Source organism: Homo sapiens, chromosome 2 (assembly GCF_000001405.40).
Source record: "Homo sapiens chromosome 2, GRCh38.p14 Primary Assembly".
In the NCBI taxonomy this organism is placed as follows: Eukaryota; Metazoa; Chordata; class Mammalia; order Primates; family Hominidae; genus Homo; species Homo sapiens.
In genome coordinates, this window is record NC_000002.12 from 143,611,528 (window position 1) to 143,636,126 (window position 24,599).

The window sequence follows — 24,599 nt, forward strand, 5'->3', positions numbered from 1 at the left end:
GCACATGACAGGTGTTAAGTTAATGGTCTTGTCGTCTTTGTTGTTACAGTTGTTGTTATTATTACTCAACTTTCACTTCTATGCTGATAATTTTCAAATTTGTCTGTCCAGTCTTTATCTCTTTACCAAGCTCCATAGTCCAAAGTCCAAATATCTACTTAGCATCACCAAACAAAAGTGTCAATAGCATCCCCCAACCAAACTCATTCTCCCAGGCATCTTTTTATCAAAAAACAAACTGAACAAATTAAAAATCCTAGCTACTCTTTCTCAAGTATTACATGTAAGATAACTTGCATAACTAGCTACAAACAATAGTTTTCTTTGGTTCATTCCCCCTTTACCACCCCTATGTTCATTAAATGGATGGCCTCACATGGCCTTTTCGTTGCATTTCTACAAATACTATTTAGTTCTGGCCTTCATGGTATCTTGCTGGGCTGTTTCCAGGGTCTTCTAACTAATTTGCATATTCCTACTTCTCACCTCTCAAATGCATTATTCTATTTCCTACAGATTTATCTTCGTGAAATACAGTCTGGATATTTCCTCATACAAACTTTTGACAATTCTTTCACATCTAACAGAGACCATTTAATCTATTAGCATAACAGTTACACTTTTCCCTGGCTTCCAAGCTAAGTTCTCATTACATTTCATCATTCACCTTTGCACTGGTCATAATGAAGCCTCTTGCCAATATCAAATTTTGATCCATTTCATACCTCTTTGCTAGAACAGTGGTCCTCAGAGTTTAACATGCATCAAAATCACCTGGAGGACTTGTTAAATCATAGACTAATTAGTATTTGTAGAAATGCAATCACACAGCCAGTTGCATCCAAAAGCCTCTGTTTCAGTTAAAACTGAGGTAGGTCTTGATAATTCACCTTAAATGTCCTGTGTGTGATGCTGATATAGCTGGTTCTGGGACATCCTTCCTCACCCATCTCAGTTCAACAAAATCCTATGCACTTCTCACTGCCATTGTGTGGGAGACGTTTCATCTGTCACCTGTCAGAATGAACCATTCCACACATTGTGTTCATGAGATAGGAGGCAGGACTCAACCACAGAGGCGAGGCTCAGACACCAAACCAAAATGAGGACTAGCTAAAGCAGGGACAGGGCAGACCTGGGCAAAGCCAAAAGGCATCCCAGTGAGGCCCGATTTGGAGTTTACCTGTCCTGTATCACTAGCAGAATGATTGAGGTTTTAGGTGGAGCCAGATTGCCTGGACTCCGCTACTAAATACCTGAGTGAACCTGAACAAGTTCCTTGATCTCTGGAGCTGCTTTTCCATCAGTAAAGTTGAACTAATAACAGTACATCCAGCATATGTTGATGTGAGGATTAAATGAATTCCTGCATGTGAGGCACTTAGAATAGTGCCTGAGAAGTGCTCAACTATTATTGGTTTTCTAGTAGTTTATACCTTTACTACAATGCTCAATGACGCTTAAAGTTTGTAGGCCTATCTCCTTTTGAGATGTCAGTTTCCTTGAAAGCAGAGACCACGTTGTTGTGAATCCCCAGAAACATAGCCCTGGGCTTAGCACTTTATAGAAATCCAGTAAATAAAATTTTTAATTAAATGGAGATCAAAGAAAGATTGCAAAAGGATCTTAAGTAAGTAAAAATCTTCTAAACAATAAACAAACCATCCATTTCTTTTTCCCTCATCATAAAGATGAATAAAAATGAGGTCAATTATTAATAATACATTGAAAGTAGGTTTGCCTTTTCCTTTGAATTTTCTAAACTCTATAATTAAAATGACTTCAAATTGGAAGATTGTTAAGAAGAAATTAATCTTATTGGTAAGTAAAAAAGCAAATCCCATGGTTGATGATAGATATGACCTGTTAGCAATAGTCACACTTTTATATTTTATTTCCTTACAATCAGCATGTGGAGACCAACATAATCCAATTAACTGTAATTCCCTTTTGTAGCATCCGTAAAGTAGTTTATGATACTAAAACACCATTGAAGTCTTATCTCTGGTCAGATAATCCAAATGGATTCTGATTTGCAAACTACCAGCAGGTCTTTATAAACTTCAGGAAAATAGAATATTTTGACTTCCCTGAACCTACAATAAATGTGATACACAAAAATTCGTCTCTGAACTCTAATCCTTTGTAAATGCTAGCCATCAGTTTTCTAGACTTCTTTCTCTGCACCTGTTTCTTATTAACTGACTTCTTTTAAAAGCATTTTTTTCCACAGTGAATATCCAGTATTTCAATACATCAGAGCCTCTCAGCTGAGCTTCTTGCTCATTGTGTCTTTTTGGACACACCACCCCTCTTCTATACGCCCACTCCAACCCATCCTACATGCTACTGCCAGAGCATCTTTCTAGAATGTTGCTCCCCTGCTTATGGTCATCCAGACTCTTTCAGTTGTAAGGACCTTCATGCTGTACCTTCTGCCTTCTTTTCTATCCTCAACACCCTGAGATATGGAATCTATGCCTCTAGGGTCTCCGACAACTTGTGGCATCCCAAATGCATCATGTTCTTCATTCCTTGGCGTGATTGTTACTTCTAGTTGAATTTTTCTTCATCTCTTCTCTTCCTCTCTCCCAGCTCCTGCACCACCCTCACTCACCTGACTGCTCATCGTTTAAGATCATTATTATGTGACACCTCATCTGGAAAGCCTTCTGACTACACCCAGATGAAGCTTGATGCTAATCTTCTATGTTCCCATAGCAGTCTGCAAGAAGTTATATAATAACATTTACCGTACTTGATTACATTTTTTTCTATTTGACCAAACTTCCTATATACTATGAAATCTTTGAGCATAGAAGCTAGATCTTTATTTATCTTATTTTTACCCCAGCAGCTATAACATGCCTAGCACAAAATTTGGGTTCAATAAATATTTGATAAGTGAATGAATAACCTACTTATGTCTTCAGTATTTGTTAAGTGTTTTGAAAGAGAATGATAAACAAAGAGAATACAAAAATAATGCTGTGTGTGTATACATATATCTATTGTCATCATCGTTGGTATTATATTATGAAATAGCCTCTGTTATCAAAGGAGGTTAAAATTTGATAGGTGGTACAAATATATGAATAGCTAATAAAAATGAGTGCATCAGTCACTGGCTAAGCACTGGGGATATAAAGAAAAATAAAAACAAATTTCTTTGAGACAGAGATAGAGGAGAGACCCTTTGTTTAAATCACTATAGTTAAATTAATTAGGCATGCCCCAGGAGTGATGGGGTTCTCAGGCTAGGATTAGAAACATGGTAAGCAAAGTTTGAAATGAAACCCAATGTAGGGAAGAGTCAAGATTAACAGCATAGATAGCTAGGCATCACAAACTATCGGCAGAGACCGGGAATTGGTGCCACAGGTTTGTTTAGGCCAGAATAATTAAGATGATAATGTTGTTCAGTAGTTTCAACAAGAAGTTGTTGCACAGGGACCTAGCTATTTTACCTTACTTTATGCAAGTAGTTGTAAAATTTATACATCTCCCAACTCTTATTTTGTGTACCTTTGTAGAGCTTTAGTGGTGATTGTGGTGAAGAAAAGTCCTGTGATGCAGAAAATTTAGTTTACTCCCATGAATCCAACTAATCGAGATAACTTAGGTTAAAAATTATCATTAATAATTACTAGAAATCATCTCTTCATTTTGGTTGTCTTAATTGACAACTAACAGATGTCTTATCTGGGGATAACATAGTTTCAATGAATGAGAGTAGCAATATCTTAATCTACCAGTTTTGTTTACCTTTTATTTCAATTTTTCTGAAGAAATACTTCCAGACAGAAAATTCTAAGTTAGCAAAAACCCAAATCCATATCCTTTTCAATGTTACCATTTCTAACCCTACACATATCACCAACATAGTAAGGGGAATGATAAAAGCCAGAAATTATATTACATTCTGGAAATATTTGCCAAAGTCTGTCTACATTGGATGCTTTTCATATATTACATCACTTAAATCTCACACAAAATTAAGAACTCTCATTTGACAAGTGAAGAAACCAGAATGTTAAGTAACTTCTATATATGCATTTTTGCTTACAATGGACATATTATCTGTATATGGGAATTTATAGGACTTAGTTTATTTCCTAGATATCATTAAGAGATAGGTTTTGACTTGGCCCTGTGCTTCATATTTGCAAACGTAATATAACTTGGAGGGAACAATAGCAATGGTGTTGAAATTTAAAGCCACTATGAAGCAAGCTTTCAAAAATGACTTTGTCGAAATTTAATCCTATGATTCTCTCCCCTTTGGAGTACGTAATGTATGAAATCATCCATGGAATTCCAGCAAATTCAGAATCTGTTTGGAGAAGATGGTTAAATAAAAAGAACCATTGTGTACGGTATCTATAGAGTACAAAAAGCCTTTGACTGAATGGAAATAAGAACAGAGTTGGAAGCTCTGAGTAAGAAAGGAATTAAAGAAATATATATGGGTGCCAGGAAATACATCAATTTTTTTTTATGATCCTCACTGAAAGAAAAAAGTCTGTTCATTTTTGTTGCTGTTGTTGCATCTAAACAGGACTACCTTTTCTCAGCTACCTAAACGAAATATCTAAAAGCCTGGAGAGCAGCATAATGTCACTAACGTCATTTTATAAGGTAGCATTATGCATGGAGTTATGATGATGGGAAGATGTTTTATGTTATGCCATTATAAATTAAAAATGCACAAAGCAATGACACATGTGTTATACTTTCCATCTGTGGCACCTGCTTCGCAAGTTTCAGTTGCACCTATTATGTTATTCTTTACATTCAAATGAAATCTGAGGAGAAATAAAAATAAGACAGTCTTGCTCCTAACTAGCTTCCTGTACTGGATAGAGTAGAAGACCGTTCCACCTCCTTCCAAGAGAGTAACTAAAGATATTTCATATGAGCCTGTGACATGCGCATGCTTTGGTCTTCTCAAATAATTTCCAAAGATATGCACAAAACCTCAAAGCACACCGAAAGCAAGCTAACGTGGCGTGCCAAAGTAGCCCATTAGATGTTCAGAAATAAAAGCTTTTAAAGAAAAGTTTTAAAATCTTAGAAAGTTTGTGGTTACTTCCTTCCTCCCTCTGTCGTAATTCAAGGAGGCCACAGAAAACCAGGTTTTATAGACCAGGTGGTAATAGAACCATCTATTCTACGCACAGGTCTGTCTCCTCTTGCCAGAAAGGAACCATTTTCAAACATAGGACTCCTAAGAGCTTCCTGGGGGTTACTGTGATAAATCATATGAAACAGATCTTGTTGATTTTGCATACAAGTTTTCATATTTAAAACCACTTTGCTCCTTTCTCTTTGATAGGTATCATGACCATAGACAGTTGATTGGACTTGAGTTGAGTTTTTCCTGAGGAAGTTTCCAATGTTTTCTAGTAGTACTTAGAGTCTCAGGTGATGGCAACCATGCAATATTTCCACTTTAGACATAGTAGTTGGACAAAGAATGAATATGAAAACGGCAATCATGATTTTATTCTTTCTCTGGAGACCACACTGGAGAGTATTCTGCATGTTTGTAGAGAAAATCATTTGAAATAGGTTAAGCCTGAATAGGCAGGCAATTTTTCAACTAATTCCAGCTTCAAATCTGTTCTCTGAATATTGGTAATTATTTTTCTTCAAATGGAATTACCTAAAGAGCTAACTCTGTTGTTCACTGTGTTTCACAAGTGTAGCATAGCCCTTGTGTTGAGAAGATGTATAGGTATGATCCAGAAATTTGACCTTGTCTTTCTCTGCTCAAAACCTTGGGGCATTGTATTAGTTTGCTTGAGCTACCATACTAAAGTACCACAGACTGGGTGGTTTAAACACCAGAAATGTATTTCCTCACAGTTCTAAAGGCTGGAAGTCTGAGATTAAGGTATCGGTAAGTTGATTTCTCCTAAGGCTCCCTCCTTGGTGTATAGGCAGTCAATTTCCTCCTGTGTCTTCACATGGTCTTTCCTCTGTGTGCACCCTAATCTGTTGTTATAAGGACACCATACATATTGGATGGGGACCCACATGACCTCATTTTACCATAATTACCTCTTTAAAGATCCAATCTCCAAACATAGTCACACTATGAAATATTGGGGGTTAAGACTTCAACGTTTGATTTTGAGGAATGGAAGAACACAATTCAGCACATAACAGGCACGATGCATATTTTTGGGTGATATATTTGTTATTTGAGTTTGTCCTGGCTTGCCCCCAAGGACAAAATAATATGATTCTAGGGAAGAGTAACAGGATGTAAAATGTCCAGAACTTTATATTCACTTTCTGAGCACCTGATGAAGCCCTCTCCTTTGAGGAACATAAAGCAGCCTCAACAGCTGTAGCTTTAAAAACACAAGGCCCAGTATGTAGTCTCCTTCCATCTCTGTTTGTTTGAAAACAATTAAGTGAACAAACAAATTAACTGGCCAACTGGTTTAGTTTTCTCAGATAATATCCTCAATGAAGTCTCATGTTACAGCCAAGGTGTGGAAGGAGGAGCTTTAGCCAGTGCAGCACAGAAAGATGCTACTTTTGGCACAGGGTGACATCACCGTGTTTGAGAATGCAGAACCTCTCTAATCCACCAGAAATCAGACCAAACCATCACTTTCAGGAGCCAGCACAGCAAGAAAAGTTGAGCTAGTTGAGTGATTCAACCAACTTACTTTTGATCCATTCCTTTAAATACTAAACTAAAAATCTTCTATATCCTTATAAACAGTGTCATTTTATCCACATTAATATCTAATCTTTCAATTTGATTTTAGGGCCAAACATATTATGTTTTGGATCGATCATCCCTCTGGCATCTCTTCCATTTGGGATGTGACTTTCATGTACCCAGCAGGCCTTTTAGATAAGGGATCCAAATGGTCATCTGTGCTGGAAGCAGGGACATCATCCTTTATGAGAGTTTCATAGTGTAACAAGTTCTTTTCACTGTATTAATGAGATCAGGGCTATTCTTTCTGTATCCTGGGAAAGCTAGGGTGTCTTTTCCTCTTTTTAAAATTGCAACAATAAAATAAAAGTTGGAAAGAGGTTTTAAAAGTGCTATGAAAACTATTACAAGGTAAAGAAGCACTTGTTTTTAACACATGAAGAAGATTTTCTTTCTTGACTTGGTTACTCTTCTATTCTGGATAGTCCAAGTGCAAGCATATTTCAAAAAAGACTAGGTTAAAACAGGTTGAGTCTAGTTAAAATTGGACCTGATATCACAACTGCTGGTTATATATACCAATACCTACAAAGCAATATATAATACAAGAGGAAAGGGGTAAACTCCTTTTTTTTTTTCCTTTGAGACGGAGTCTCGCTCCGTCACCGAGGCGGATGGGGTGCAGTGGTGTGATCTTGGCTGACTGCAACCTCTACCTCCCAATTCTCCTGCCTCAGCCTCCCGAGTAGCTGGGATTACAGGCATGCCACCATGCCGGGCTACTTTTTGTTATTTTTTTTTTTACCATGTTGGCCAGGCTGGTCTCAAACTCCTGGCCTCAGGTGATCTGCCCACCTCAGCCTCCCAAAGTGCTGGTATTACAGGCATGAGTCACTATACATGGACAGTAATTAAACTCTTAATGATATTTAAATGCTCCTTGTTCCTTGGAAACTACCATTGACCTACTATGGCTATCAAAGGTTCATCTTTCAGTTCTTTTTAAGAAAAATTATTCCTAATAGCTACTGTCAAATTTTTTCTTTCAAATATAATTTGTAAAGCTTGATATAAATAAGTTTTTACTTAAAAGATACCCTAAAGGCTCTTCAAGAAAGAGCATTTCAGGGTAACCTTGTTTGGGTACAACATTTAGGTTGTGTGTGTGTGTATGTGTGTGTGATCTCATAAAATTCACATGGTATTTGCATTGTGGAGCTTAACCTATCTTTAATTCTGTTTATAAGCTTTAAGGCAAAACCATAACCAAAATGGATTTAAGATAACCTAATTAGAGGGCCAGGAGAAACCAGCACAGATTGAAAGGATTGTGAGACATCGTGATTCAACCAGACTTCTTCCTAGGATTGGACTATAACATGTGATATGGTTTGGCTGTGTCCCCACCCAGATGTCATGTTGAATTGTGTTGAATTGTAATCCCCAATGTTGGGGGAGGGACCTGGTGGGAGGTGATTGGATCATGAAGATGGATATCCCTCTTGCTGTCCTCGTGATAGTAAGTTCTCACAAGATCTGGCTGTTTAAAAGTGTATAGCACTTTCCTCTTCACTCCTCTCTGCTGCTGGCCATGTGAAGATGTGCTGGCTTCCCCTTCACCTTCTCCCATGATTGGAAGTTTACTGAGGCCTCCCCAGTTGTTCTTCTATACAGCCTGCAGAACTGTGAGCCAATTAAACCTCTTTTCTTTGTAAATTAACCAGGCCCAGGTAGTTCTTTGTAGCAATGTAGTTTTTGTTGATCCCGTTCAAGAAACTGCATCGTACTGAGATAAATCCTCTAAAACAACCAGGCTGGCTTACAATGTTTGTTCAGTGTTTCAGTTGCCTTAGTCCCTTTTTTATTTTATCATTTTGGCCTTTACTCACCTGCCTCATTCTGGTGACATATTGGATATGTTTGATTCCTTATGCTTTAAAATGTTTTTCAGGTACATTTTCCCATTTGATACCAACAATTATCCTTCTATCTTCATTTTACAAATAAATAAATAAATAGATATACAATGAATTAGTGGTAAATCCAGTCCTGGAGTGGGTGTTTCATATGGTCTTTTTCCTACTCTATCATATTTCCTCTTCACTCCATTGCTACCTAACAATTTGCTCCATCTGTGCCCGTTTCCTAATGCAGTTGCTTCTTATTACCAATTTGTTTTGTATCTGTTTATATAAGAATCTGTGCCTTCTACAAGTCTGTAATTACCAAAGATGAGAGTCAGTTTACAGGTAAAAGCATAGCCTCGAGTTAGACATTTAAGGATAAAATGTAAAAATTACAATCTTGACATAATAGTCAATCAACTACCATTTGCAATTACTGTTTATTTGCCTTTTCCCTTTCTGCTTCTGCCAGCCAAGATTAAGTCTGAACACAGTGATTTTAAACATAGTGGGGGCTTACTGGCTCTTTATCCTGGTTTCATCACTTGGCAGCCATGGGAAAATTGTTTAATCTACCTATGCCTCACTTTCCCTATCTGTAAAATGGACATGATGATAACAATAGCATCTTCCTCATTCCTTGCTGAAAGCATTAAATTAGATAATGAATGTAGAGTGCATAGCACAGTCCCTGGTACAGTGTAAGCTCTAAGTAATTGTTGGTTATCGCTTTCGTTGCAAAGTAGCCTGAATGAGTTCATATGGATTTTGTTCTATAAAAAGTTATGATTTTGTCAAGAATAATTACCAACTCAAGGTCATATTAAGGAAATATCAATATGTGTGTATCTAATTTTCTAGTTCCCTGACCACCTATGGTAGACTTCGTAAATCTTTGTTGAGTTACTTCTACAGACACTTATGGACTTCACTATAGTGGCTCTCAACCAAGAATAATTTTGCACCATGGGGAGATACGTGGCAATCTCTAGACACAATTTTTATCATCCCCACTGGGAAATGCTACTGGCATCTATTAGATAAAGGTCAGGGATACTGCTAAACATACTAGAATGTACAAGACAGCCCCCACCACAAAGAATTTTCCAGCCCCAAATGTCAATAGTGTGGTGCTTTTGAGAAACTCTACTCTATTAGAAAAGGGAAAAGTATAAGACATCATCACTGTGTAGAATCTAGTTAGAAAATGCTTATCAAATAATGCAAATATATTTGTAATAATGCCTGTTAACACCAGGGTAGGGTTATGGTTAGTTCATCTTGAGGACTGGTTGGCTTCATGAGAAGGCATACTATATGGACATAACTTCATGTTTAGATAAACTACAGTGGCCTTGCAAAATTTGCCTTAACATCACCTGGTTTACAAGGGATCTTAACCTTGGTTGATTATGAAAACTTGATATAAAAATTAGTATTATATTTCAAAATACTCTTTCCAACTATTTGCCATATTGCCTATTTAAGCTACTTGCCGAAGGGCTACAAATTATTATTATTTCTTTAAATGGAAACTACATGGGAATCTATAGTAGGAATCTTGGTTTAAGGGACACAGTTAATATTATATGGTATTTTAAGTAGATATAATCAAATGGTATCTATTCATGGGTAAATTTTCTTTAGATATCACTATGTTCGATTTTCATGTTCACTTGAATTAACTGATATTAATGTGGAAATGAGTAATAGTAATGCTGTTTTCCTTTGGTTAAGCCATTATTTGTTGCTGCTGCTGTTGTTTCCTTGCTCAAGTTAAAATCATTCTCTTTTTTACCTGCTGAACACTTTCCTTTAGCAATTTCAAACTTGTGCACCAAAACGGCATTTTGTGTTGGACTTTTCTGATAAATTTTTGGTAGAGATAGTTGTGTGTGTGTGTGTGTGTTTGTGTGTGTGTGTGTTTAGGTTTCCACTTAAAGTTCAGTGCCAAAGCTACAGTACTTATACATTTTCTAAATGTGTTTTAAGCAATAAGTTGTACAACATTTTTAGAACATGTGTTAAGCTATTTCTCTAAGAATGAAGCTCTTAACAAAACATAAGCACTCTGCATGAGATCTTAGCAGCAAAGTGCTTAAAAGATAAAGTAAGAATTGGTACCATGGGAAGAACACCAGCTGTAGAGCACACAGGTCCATTATGAGAAGTATGGTAGTGGGTAGGGAGAAAATGATTTAATCAGGAGTAAAACCAATTTTATTATAAGGGCACGCAGGGGGTGTGGCACCATAGTGAGAGGGACATTTCAAAATATCTGACAGATTTCAACAATGTGAAAACCCCGTTCTTTAAAGTGACAGTAAACCCCATCAGGTCTCCCTTTTTGATGCTATTGTTAACAGTTGACTGTTTAAAGCTGGCCTGCTAAGATGCTGTCGGCCTATTTCAATAGTGTGTAGCCAAATAAAAGACTAATTGTTGAAATACAATCAATCAAAAATGATTGCAGGGCAGAAAGAAGGTCTCCTCTGCTGATTTTGTTGTGTATCACATTATTGTGTTATGATTGAGGTAGGAATGAAGACTGAAAGGGAAGATTAGCCCGTCTGAAATAAACAGATTCACCTTCATGTCTTCTCTTTGCAAACACACTGTTGAGCAGGAACACCACTTACTATAAGCCTTAGAAACGATCGTTCATTTATTTAAAAAAAAAAAAAAAAAAAAAAAAAAGAACTGCTGAAGATTTGGGCTAATGTTTTTAAAAGGACGTGAACATTATTAGCAAAACAGCCCATGCAGAGAATCCCTACAGTGACAATTCTCAGCTTTTCTTACATTTTGGTGCAAAATGCTCCTCTGGATTCATAAAACTGACATCCAAGGGACATGTGAATGCGAGCCCAAGACATCAGTAAAGAAACAAATTTTCAGTTGACCAAATACCTCGGCGCTTGCCAGTATTCTCAGCTTTTCAGTTAACCCCCAGATTGTCTAAAATGATTAGTTTAAGGTTTCATGAAGCCCCGAATCCAAAACCTTTTCCATGTTGCACGTTTAGAAAGACAAATCGTCTGGCTCGACAGCAGTGCCTTTGTACCTCGCTTCCTTTTAATTTTATGTCAAGATGTCCCTTTCAGACGTGAATGCATCCACTTCTTGGGTGAGACTAATTCCAGACATTCATATTGAGGGTGAAAAGGACAAAAATAATTGCCCAGCGCACTTTATTTCTATTAAAACCTTCATTTTGGGATTTACTTTCTTTAGTATTTCAACATCTCCACTCACTCAAGCTTCCCAAGCAAATATTTCTGTTGTTTCTAAAAAGAGTTGGTAAGCACTTGTGGTTTGTCTTTAGTGTGTTATCATTTTTGACAGCTTTGCATAGCCTACGTAGGCCAACAGGGGTCTGTCTAATATTGTTGCTGGGCATATTTTCCTCACTGAGATGAGAACTAAAAAAAAAAGATTTTGAAGCAGTAAGAAAAGAATTAATATCCTTTCTCACTCAGTATTCTCTTCCTTGCTGACTTTATATTCAGGCAAAAAAAGGGAAAAAGTGTTACCCATTATTCCCTTGTACATAGCAAGGCTAACACATGTAAAGCAATAACTCATTTTCTATTGCCATGTTTAGCATATGTCTCCTGTTGGCTCAGCAAGGCCTTTAGGCCGGTCCCTTGAGCCGGCCATCATTGGCAACTCTTAGCCCCTCGGCCTCAAAACCAAATAGCTTTGAATCATGTTGAGCTGTGATGCTAATTTTCATACTGATGCATTATGGGAATAAACGTATCTGACATACTGTGTCAATGGCACTGTCTCTTTGTGTCTCTTGTTTTTTTGTTAGCTGCATTCCTACAGATGGTATTCCATTGAAAATGTTCCCTTCCTACGGAAAGAGGGAGGAAAAAAAAATGCACAGCACCAAACCTCTAGGTGCAGAAGGCTGTTAACGGTTGCTGATGATAGTAGGCAAACATTAACATAATAATTAGTGTCTTGTAATTGTTTCATTAAAACCAGTTGTTCCATTTCTCCTCGTGTTTTCCCAGAAGAGAAGCTGAATTTGGACGACAGCCAGTGGGAGGACATCCACGTTGTCACCGGAGCACTGAAGATGTTTTTCCGGGAGCTGCCTGAGCCGCTCTTCCCTTACAGTTTCTTTGAGCAGTTTGTGGAAGCGATCAGTAAGTACCTCACAGAAAAGGGCAGGTGGTAGAATAACCTGACATCCTGGAATTATTAAGTAAATAATAAGAATGATTATAATAATAATCATGGGGAACAGATAGTATCCCCGATGCTCCATATCTTACGTTTTCGTTTTTGTGTTTTGATGGCTTGTTTTATTTCTGGCCCTGCAGTATTATCTGAGGTTTGTTTGTTTTTAATTAGGAAAAAAAATATGACATCCTATTTAGGGTAGCCAATTTAACTAAGTATCCTCAAATGAAAATAGTGTCTCATCAAATCTGCTTTAAAGGGTTCACTGTGTGCACCCCTCATCTCTGCCTTTATACTTTCAGAATTGCAATGAGTTTGAATACAAAGCGGTCTCGAAAAGGATCCTAAGTGAATTAAATATTACATTTCATGAAATATGTGTTAAATTATCAACTAAGACATCATGTTCTCTTGGTTCACTCACCCTTCACCCACCAACACTAGTAAACAGTCAGCCATAATTTGCTTATGAGCAGCGTGATTATCAAATGAAGTAATGGCAAGTTTCTTCTGTTAAACTGGTGACTTTATAAGAGAGTGAGTTATATCTACTACTAACCAGTAGTCATTGTACACTCCATGAAGCTTCCTTTTCTGTTTTTTTTTTAATTCATAAAACACACACACACACTTAAGTAAAAGTGAATAAATGAATGAATGAATCAATGAAAATCTTTTCCAAATGGAAGGGTACTTCTGCTATTAATCCTTGGAGAAGCAACTACTGGTACGTCTCTAAATTTAATATCTTAGGGTATGCTTACTGTAACTGTGACAGCTTGGAAAAAGTTTCCTGGCAAGCCAGCTGATTTAAGGAAGAAAAAGAAAGAAGAAAGAAAGGTAAAATTAAAAACCTTGCAAGCCTGGCAGGAGCTTAATTAAAATCCTAACGAGACAAATCTCCAAGAAAAAAAAAACTGCTGTATTCAGGAGGTCTGATCTTGGATGGCTGGGTATGAAGTGTTCCCATTAGCACAAGTGGAGATTTGGGGGTCCTGTGTTGGAAAACAGCCCCTCAACATGCCCTCTAATTCTGTCATTCACAAAGCCTTCACCCTTGTTTAAAGCTCTGGCAAAACGGTATCAAGAAAAAGAAGAAATTTCTCTCCCAAGGTCTTTCTCTTGTTGCTTGCTCACAATTTCAGATTTTGTTGTTGCTATTGCTGCTGCTGCTGCTGCTGCTGCTGTTGTTGAATGCAGTAACAATACTCTAAAGATGGGTTTTGAGTTGAGGCTGGAACTCTTATCCCTTGTCGTGACTTCATCTCATGACCCCTCTACTTCTTCAGAACAGCAATGTTTCATAGTTCAGCATGCTTTCCTAACTTCATTTGAAAAGAAGAAATAAAAAATAAACAAGCAGGCATTTCCATAACAGCTTTTTCTGATATTCTGTCTTGGAACACCCAAGCAACTTACAATGTTGGAACAGCGTTCTGGTAGGAAATTGGAGGGACTTTGCATTTGGATGCCTATTTCTGATTGTGTACATTTAAAGAAGTCATATAAATTTCACATCATCATCTCCACACATTCAAGTGAGGATGATCTCATTTGGAAATATACTTCGGTATGTGCTATTTGGGGGCTATAACTAGGATATCCATCATTTAAGCTTCCTTTAGTTCACCTGATTCTAAAGATGTTAGGAAAGTCATTTTCTTAGCTTGAGAGATATGGAAAGCAGGCCCTCCGAATCCACATGAGAGTATGTCTTTTGAATTTCTCTAAGGAGTAGGATCATCTCAGGGATATTCTAGACTTAAGTCCAAATTTTATAGAATTTCAGAAATATAGGCATGGTAAGAACGGAACATGGCAGAGTTGAGGCAGCAGACTATTGGGATTGATGGCTCTTGCAAGGGTTTCTGCCAACACCTATAAAATGGGTTATGGCGAGAATGAATAAGAAAGTGCCTAAGAAAGTCTTTCAAAAATGTAAGAGGGTGCACAAACAGTGCTAAAAGTGTTTCTCCATATGAGCTTTGTTTGATAATGTAATTTGGAAGAGAAGAGAGAGGAGACTTCGTCCTTCATTGTTCAAGGCAACAAGAATCAAACTCAGGGTTATTGTGTCAGGACGTGGTTCCTGCCGGTGGGTTCGTGGTCTTGCTGACTTCAAGAATGGAGCCGTAGACCTTCTAGGTGAGTGTTACAGCTCTTTAAGATGGCACAGACCCAAAGAGTGAGTGGTAGCAAGGTTTATTGTGAAGAGCGAAAGGACAAAGCTTCCACAGCATGGAAGGGGACCCCAGCGGGTTACCCCTGCTGGCTGGGGTGGCCAGCTTTTATTCCCTTATTTGTCCCCTCCCATGTTCTGTTTCTGTCCTATCAGAATGCCCTTTTTTCAATCCTCCCCGCGATTGGCTACTTTTAGAATCCTGCTGATTGGTGCATTTTACAGAGCACTGGTTGGTGCATTTACAATCCCCCTGCTAGCTACAGAGCGCTGATTGGTGCGTTTTTACAATCCTCTTGTAAGACAGAAAAGTTCTCCAAGTCCCCGCTCGACCCAGGAATTCCAGCTGGCTTCACCTGTCATTATGATCTGAAAGTTTGTTTCCCATCAAAATGTATATGTTGAAGTTCTCACCCCCAAGGTCATGGTATTAAGAGATGGGGGGGCTTTAGATGGAGATTAGGTCATTAGGGCAGAGCCCTCATGAGTGGGATTAGTGGCCTTGTAAAAGAAGCCCAAGAGAAACCTGTATCTTCTTCCACCATGTAATGGCACAACTAGAAGTTGCCATCTATTAGCCAGAGAGTGGGCCCTCACCAATACATTAAATGGGCTGTCAACTTGGTCTCATACTTCCAAGACTCCAGAACAGTGAGAAGGAAATTTCTGTTGTTTATGAATTGCTAAATTTATGGCATTTTTTATAGTAGGCCAAATGGACTAAGACACTCAGCAGCCTTGCTTCAACTCAAAACAGAATAGTAGAATGTCATTATTTTTTAATATGTAAAACAGAGGGATCAACCAACAGGGTAATGGGGCTGAGACATATGATATTGGACAGAGACGTACATTTACTAACCCACGTATTTTTGATATAACCTTGAAGCTAGTCCTTGTGTTCTAAACCTAGGAAAAACTCTAGGTTGTAATTCATATTTAAATATTCTTAAGCAATGAGAGAATGGCCACCTAGATCCTTGGCAATGGTAAAAACCACACCAGAGGAAATACTTTCTCTCCATGTGTACCAATTGTACTAAAAAGTCTTTCAAAATTTTAAGAACATTTATACCCCGTCACAGGGCTTTATCATAGCTTACATAGCCTCTTGTAAAAATCTATGCAGTGAGAAACTCAACAGATCCACTCGCGAGTTTTCGGCTTTATATGGAAAGGGACCAACCAGGTAAAGTAAATTCACAGGACAGGATGAATTGAGGACAAAGAGGCTGGGTCTGGGCCTCTTTGTCCTCAGATCCTAGTTCTTCCCTTTTATTCTCTGTACCATAGGAGGGTTGGTCCTAGCCAGCTATATTTTGCAGATGCTGTTTTTGTGGGGTTTTTTTTCGACTTTTATTTTAGATTAAGAAGGTACATGTGTAGGTTTGTTACCTGGGTATACTGCGTGATGCTGAGGTTTGAGGTACAAATAATGCCATCACCCAGGTATAGAGCATACTACCCAACAGTTTTTCAACTCTTGCTCACCTCCCTCCCTCTCCCATCTAGTTGTCCCCAGTGTCTATTGTTGCCATCTTTATGTCCATGTGTACCCAGTGTTCAGCTCCCACTTATAAGAAAGAACATGGGGTATTTGGTTTTCTGTCTCTGCATTAATTTGCTTAGGATAATGGCCTCCAGCTGTATCCATGTTGCTCCAGAGGACATGATTTCATTCTTTTTTATGGCTGTGTAGTATTCTGTGTGTATGTACCACATTTTCTTTATCCAGTCCACCATCACTGGGCACCTAGGTTGATTCCATATCTTTGCTATCGTGAATAGTGTTGCGATGAACATGCAAGTACTTGTGTCTTTTTGGTAGAAAGATTTGTTTCCTTTTGGATGTATACCCAGTAATGGGATTGCTGGGCCCAATGGTAGCTCAGTTTTAAGTTAAGTTATTTGAGAAATCTCCAAACTTACATGTGCTCTTGAGATGCTGTTGCACCCGGTCAAAGCCACTGGAAGGAGATGGTAGAAAGAGAGAGAAGACAAAGGCCAGCAGTTTATGAGTTTATCCCCAACCCGTTCACCCTTGCCACCCATCTGCCTCAGGTAGCTTTTCAGCCTGAGGCTCCTTCTCCTCTACAGCTTCAGCTTTGACCAGACAGGGCCCATCTGGTTTCAGCTCCCATCTGGTGACACAGACTCTCCTTTCTTTGCTTTTCCAGCCTGGAGAAGGTAGTGGCTTCCTGATGTGTCTACTTTCTTGGTTACTCCACTCTTCCTTATCTGGTTCTCAGCTTCTTCTTTATATGGGTAACCAATTGTCTGCATCAAATTAATTCCCTTTGTTGGTGTAAATACTTAAAATGGTTTCTGTTTTTTGCTTACACACAAGTAAAACATCATGTCAGTTGATGTCATGGTACATGTTGTCATAACATTATTTCCCTTTTCTCTTTTATTACCCCCAAGCCCAGTTTGTGGAGAGTTAACATTTTTATTTGGCCCCAGATTGGGAGATCTGTTACTCTTTCATGGAAGAGTTAAAAGGTGGTTAGACCAAACAGAATTTTGCATCCAACTGGAATACTTTGCATCTGAGGAGAAAATGCTATTTCTAGTACAAGCAATTAATGACCACTGGAGCGGTCTGAATTACTTTAATTTTTATTATATGTTTGAAAGTTATCACATAGTCCAAGAAGAGTGAACAGAAGGCATTTACTTTTTAAAATAACTTCTTTTTGGACCAAAAAAAAAAAAACCCCATTAATATCATAAGACCCTGCAATTGCCATAGTAATCCCTTGTCTGATAATACTCATTGGGGTAACAAAAACACTAGGGATTGTTTTATATCTCAGAATCCAAGTACAGCAACTATTGATCTGAAATTCTATACTTGAGATCAATCCAACTGGGTCACCTGCAGGTTATTTCATGGGGATTTAACCCACTGACTGCAAAGATTTAATTCCCTGGAAATGACTTGTACTGAAGGCATTATTAGTACTGTAAATGTGAACTCAGTAGAAAAGCACAGCCAGGGAGTTTTATGATAGGTGATGCAATCTTGTGGCTAGAGGCCTGCAGGGGTCCAGACATTTCCAGTAGATCTAAATCCTAGGAAATGTACTAACTTTACCACTGTTCCCATCTTTTTCTTCTGGTAACTCTACAGATCCAAAGAAAAAAGACAACAAGCAATGTTTTTTCTGTTTTAATGTCTGCATTTTTCCAAAGTTCCTGAAAAAGAGAAAGGGAGGAGAAAAACTCATTGGCATTTCTAATAATTGTCTCATGTAATTCTCAAAATAAGAAAGCAGGAGATATTGGAGAAATGGAAAGATCATCTGCACAATAATTTCTAGCTCATAAAGTAGTTACTATGAGAATGAGAATAGAACAGGATTTTCTTACTCCATGTTAGGCACTTAGTAAGCTATTTAAAAAGAAATTAGTTTTTAGAGAAGTTATAAATGCACATAGCTCAAAAAACTAGACTTGGCATTCAAATACAAATATAAATACTTTGTATCATTGTATATTGCCTTGAGCAATAGCTATTGCCAAGTATCTGTATTTTATATCATCCTACAGAAGACCCATATGTCCTATGTCATCTTATATAAGACTACAAGCATTTTTTCTACATTTTAAAAGCTGAGTTTAGAATTAAATTAATGGTCAGAAATTTCAGTATTGGAGTTTTAGGTTAGAAATAAAGTAGAACTTTCCAAGAGTGAGTGAGATTTCAATGTTTAGTACTAGATATTAAAAGCATTCATGCCTTAAATGTTGACTTCTCTGGGTACATTTTAACCCTGCACTCTGATTTCTATGATCAATTGCTCAATATCTCCTTTTGAAATTTATTTATATGTACACAATGTTACTTTTCTATTTCATATGAGTATTTTAATTGTATTAAGATTCTTATTTATAATTATTTACTTGATCAAATTACAATATTCAACAAACAAAATCTTACAGAAGAAGTTAGGATGAAAAGCAATGGATTGGGCCCTATCACATCATATCCCCTGACCTACTCGTGAGAGGAAACCTCATTTAGTGATTTTAATTTTTATCTCTTCTGGTTACTTTCATAACTCTAGATAATATCTCTACTTTTGATTTATCAACTATGGATAATATCTGTTACCTAATATTGTTTCATTCTACTCCACTTCTTTTAGTATGTGGTAGCCATATATTATAATTGCAAGCTAAATAATATGCCTAAACCTCGTTTTCTTGTTTCATCAACATTCAACAATATCTGCTAACTCTTCCATTCATAAGGTGAGCATATACTCCTTCCCACCCTTTCCTTAATCTTTCTATAGTTTATTTTTAATTTTTAATAATTGAGGATTTTTTTCTAGTTCTACTGAGGTATAATTGGCATACAATGAACTGCATGTTTTAAAAGCTTAACTTTGATAAGTTTTGACAAATGTTTGCACCACAACCAGGAAAAAGAACATCTCTGTTATTCCCAAAAGTTTCCTCTTAATCCTTGACAATTCTCTTTCCTTCCCCTTTCCACCTGCTCTGCACTCCCATCCCAAGCCACCACTGATCTGCTTCCTGTCACTATCGATACATTTACATTTTCTAGAATTTTATATAAATGGAATCATACAGTATGCACTCTTTTGGGGGAGAGGCTTTTTTTCATTCAACATAATTATTTTGAGATTTATCCATGTTATATTAGTTCATTTTTCATTAATGAGTAATATTTCATTATTTGAAGATAACACAATTTGTTCAGTTGTTTATGGATATTTGGGTTGTTTCTAGTCTTTGATTGTTACAAATGAAGCATTTACAAATCTGTGAACATTTATATACAAATTTTTGTGTGGACAAATGCTTTTAGTCTTCCTGGTGATACTTAGAAGTGGAGAGCTGGTTCATATGGTAGGTATATATGAACTTTTTAAGAAATTGCTAAGCTGTTTTCCAAAGTCATTGAGCCATTTTTCAATTCCCGTCAACAGTATATGAGAGTTCCAGTTTCCCCACATCCTCAGCAACACTTGGTGTGGTCAGTGTTTTTAATTTTAGCCATTCTATGTGTGAAGTGGTATTTTGTGGTTTAATTTGCATTTCACTAAAGATTAATGATGTTAAGCATCTTTTCATGTGCTTATTGGCCATTCCATTATTTTCTGCAGTTAAGAAACCTACTTTTTCAAAAAAATTGGCTATTTCTTTGCTATTGAGTTTCAAGAGTTCCCTATATATTCTTAATGTTAGTTCTTTATCAAATATATAACTTGCCAATATTTTCACCCATTCTATGGCTTTGTTTTCCTTCTTTTAACAGTGTTTTCAGAAGAGCAGACATTTTTAATTTTGATAAAGTCCAGTTTATCCATTTTGTCTTTTATGGATCTTGCTGTGCCTTCACGTGGACTAATACTATTTTCTTCAACATCTGTTCTGTTGTTAGTCTCAGCCAGTGAATTTTTTTTAATCTTAGGCATTGCAGTTATTATTTTTAGAAGTTTGCATTTTTAAATATATTCTGCCTTAAGGTGTCTAATTTTTCTCTAGCTGTTTTAGCTTTTATTATTTTAAATGATGCATAATTGTACATATTTATGGGGTAGAATATGATGGTTTGATACATGTATACAGTGTGTAACAATCAAATCAGGGTATGTGAGCTGGCAGTTGTTGATTTGTTGAAGTTTCCAAAGTTGCCTTTTGTGTACAAAAATAACTTTTCCTCCCACTCCTGGGCAATGTTCCATACATTTTCCATTATTAGAATGCAATCAATGCTAACTCCGTGATCAAAAACAATTTTATGATTCCAATGCCATCACTTTTGGTGTTTTTTTCTGGCTTGACTAATAGTAATATATAAAACCATATGAACATATATATTGTGTTCATATATATATACATATGAATGTATGTATGCATAGGACACAGAGATTAGGCAAGTCGGTGCTAAATTGAGATAGTAATGATGTTACATACAAGTCTTCAATTTAAAGGCTACAATCACACATGCCTTTGAAGAGTGTTTTTTTAAATGCCTGGTTTTTTTTAAATGATTAATTAAGGAGTAAAACAAGTTGTGAGAAATGGCATCCATAAGATCAACTGAGCACCATTAAAATGCAGACTATTAGCCACCAAAAGTAGAGATTATCCTGTGCCTAAACGGAACTCATATCCCTGTCTATACATCAGTCACATCCTCATCAGATAAAAATAATACATTGCCCTATGGCAAAAAGTACCTATTGCATGTTCTAATGGTTTTTCCCCCCATGGCCTTTATTCCATTTTGCCTTTAGAGTATACTCTCAATAGGTAATTGTGGGGGGAAAAGCCAGTCAAGTATATTTGCAAATATTTTCTTTACTCTTGACTTTATCTTGCCCTTTGGTCAAACTATTTCTGATGCATCATCAACTCCATGATGACACTCTTTAGGAGAAAAGAAACAGAGCTTGCAAGGCACTTGACTAAAAACGGTTGCTAAACATGAAAGCATGATAGTGACAAATTGCCTTAAAACCAGAGAAAGAGCAGGGTGTAAAGGTTCATCACAAAGAAAGCAGAGATGTAAAAATAATGCAGTATAAAAATATCCTCTATTGCAGCATTTCAAGGAAATTTGAAATTGAAACAAAGGTAAATTTTACAAAGCCTGTTTTTTTAGTTTCCACTGCAAGCTAACATTCTCACAGACTTGGTATTTTTGTTGTGGTTGCTTTTTAATGTGTGTGTGTGTGCACGTGTGCACGCAAACTGGAAAGTTTATGGCTAATGCCTAGCCTGTCTCTTAACTCATTCTAATTATATTCATAATGAAATTGAAGAAAAATACTTGACTAGAGCCAAATGGCTTGCACAGGTGTCTTTTTGTAAGAATGGTTTAGTGCTAGATGATAAACAACTGGACCTCCATCTCCTTAATTTGGCTTAATGAAAAGCCCTTTATAAGTAAAACTAGAAGGTGATTCAGAATTAAAATTGGGCCTTGACTCAGAAATTAATTGAGTGGTAAGACATCAGCTCCATTAGAAAATGTGGTGCTTGTCTTTTTGCCTTTCCTGAAAACTTTTATTTTACTTGCACTCCTTTCTTCCATCTACGTAAGGTCACTTTTTCAAAGCAATAAACTCTTCAAGCTGAGCAACCAGCCAGGCAGCCTTCATGAGTCAGCTTCCCTAGCATCCTTACTTCTACTGAATAGACCTGCTTTTAAAAAATAGATAACAAAACGCAAAATTTCTCCTCAAAACTTGGTGGAAAGCAATTATCTTCACCTATTCTTCTAATAGTGGAATTGAGTGGTTGGTTTTCACTGCATCAATAGATTGTAATAAAACTGAAGGTTGGGAGGCCTTCTATCCTACACTGAGGCTTCTGCCTAATTTCTTATGCTTTGCTTGACACCACATTGTGATCACCACTGATGAGTCCTCTAAAATATCTGCCCACTTACCCCCAACTCTGACTCAGGCCATCTCTAGGAGAATGGTCTCTCCTATTTCCCATATTCATTTTTTTCTCTACCCAACCCAGCATGATTCTAGTTCTAAAATACACGCAAACTGATATATCTGGCTTGCATTTCATTTTGAGAAAAATCCTTCCAAGGTCTTCAAAGTCCTTTATGATCTGGTCACCCACAAGGTCTCCAACTTCATCATTTACTGTTCCCTGCCTTGCCCATTGCATTCCAGCCCATTGGTACCCTGGCTCTTCTTTGAATACCCCAAGCACATTGAAAGTCTTTGACTGCTCCATCTGTCTACCGAACACACTCTCCCAGATTGCTACTCCACTGTCAAGTCCTCAGGGAAGTCTCTCATCAGCTAAGCTAAAGTTTCTACCCGCACCGCACACCACCACCTGTATTCAAATCCTGTCTCCACCATTTACTATCTAGACCTAGAGCAAATATTTAATCTCTCTAGGCCTCCATTTCCACATTTATAAAATGGAGGGAAAAGTTGTATCTTCACCATGGCAATTGTAAAAAGAATTTCATGAAATGCACTTATTTACAGAATCCCTGGCACACAGTATCAAGTTCACTGGTATTATCATATTAGAATATAATCAGAGTGTCCTTTAGTTAACAGTCTCAGAGCTTTAGTTAACAGTCTCAGAGGACCTTGCTGTCCATTCTAACTAATCTTTCCACTTCTCTGGAAAAGCCATTTCAAATTATTGTCTTAAAGCGGCCATCTTCATTCTGCTTTAATATTTTGCTTTGAGAATTTCACACAGCACCAAACATGTTTCATATGACAGGATATTCTCTTGCTTCGTGACCCAGGGATCCCATTTCCTTCATCTCATGACATTTCTCCTTTGTTCTGCCAGATGTTCTCAAGCCCAACCCCACTTGGATAATCCAAAGCCTACCACTTTATTATAGAACTTACGCCTTTATCATAACCCAAATGCTATCCAGCTTCTCCGACCTGAGCTTGCCTTGCTTCTATGAAATATTAGCAAATCTGTGATGTTCACGGTGGCACCAGAAGAGCCAACTCCAAAGTGATACCTTCTCTCAGTTGGGAAATTTGTAACACTGTAGATCCCAAAATGTTATCAGTTGAACACAGGGACAGACAGACACACACACACACGTTCTCCAAACTGGAAATGTTTCACTTTTTCTTTCAGTTGCCACACAATACTCTAGCTTTGAAAGGTAGACTTTTTATTTTTTAATTATCTCAAGAGAACTTTCATATTAACCTCTCAGGAGCTTTTTTTTTTTTTTTTTTTTTTTTTTTTTCAAATTTTTTGTAAAGACAGGGTCTCACTATGTTGCCCAGGCTGGTCTCGAACTCCCGGACTCAAGCAATTCTCCTGCCTCAGCCCCCGAAAGTGCTGAGACTACAATCCCAAGTCACCATGCCCAGCCTCGTGCTATTTTCAAAGCCTGTTATGGAATAAGAATGGATCCTTTACCCAGTACTCTTGTTTGCCTACATTCAGTCAGACATTCTCATTTGCTCAAGCACTTGTCCTTTCTCCAGCCCTCCTCTGTCAATACAAGAATTTTCCTTAAATAGCTTCTAGGACTATCATAAGCACCTTGAATTGTGGCTTTTCTTGATCTGGCTCATTCCTACTGCTCTGCAGAGTTAAACATTAGATGTGATGGCTCCTGGAGTACTATAAATTTCCTGGGGGCATTCTGCTCATGTTGGAACAGTGGAATATCCACACTGAGAATTGTCATGTGGTTTAGAGAATGGAATTTTTCCCTAAGGATAGGCTCATACATTTTCTACCTACACTTTCTGAACAGAAACATGGAAAATGAATACACTATTATAGAAAATAAGTAGTGGTGCTGGTTTAAGAGTAAAAGTAATATGTTTGGAAGGATGACAGCAGATATATATATATATTTTAATCTATGAACTATAAAAAAATTATATTGGATAATTATGAGTGTTTTCTTTTCATTGGCTTATTTATAGTTTTCTATTTAAATGTGAAGTTCCTCCCACTTCCAACCATTTAATTACATATAACACCTTTATTTTTCAGAAATTGGAATTCTAAAAGATCAAATACCTAAAGCCTGAGTCCATGATTACTGTCTAGCCAGACAGTTAGTTCTTGGCCCCTTTCCTTTTTCTTCTCACCTTGAGTGTCCAGCAGGTGAAAGGTTGACCCTTTCCCATTT

General features: G+C 37.3%; 1 protein-coding gene across 10 annotated transcripts in view; it reads left to right on the forward strand.

Moving 5' to 3' along the window:
* The window catches only part of ARHGAP15 (Rho GTPase activating protein 15), a 638,934-nt gene that overhangs the window by 482,109 nt on the left and 132,226 nt on the right, over positions 1 to 24,599 (forward strand). For 9 of the 10 annotated variants that reach the window (XR_007078554.1, NM_018460.4, XM_017004500.3 and 6 more), the window contains one exon: positions 12,606 to 12,740. Coding sequence is in view for 9 of the 10 variants with exons in the window: in NM_018460.4 (NP_060930.3) it covers positions 12,606 to 12,740 (135 nt within the window). In the remaining variant the exon portion in view is untranslated. Of the gene's footprint in view, positions 1 to 2,595; positions 2,921 to 12,605; positions 12,741 to 24,599 lie in introns of those variants that run through there. The other variant, XM_011511484.2, reaches the window with a different exon arrangement.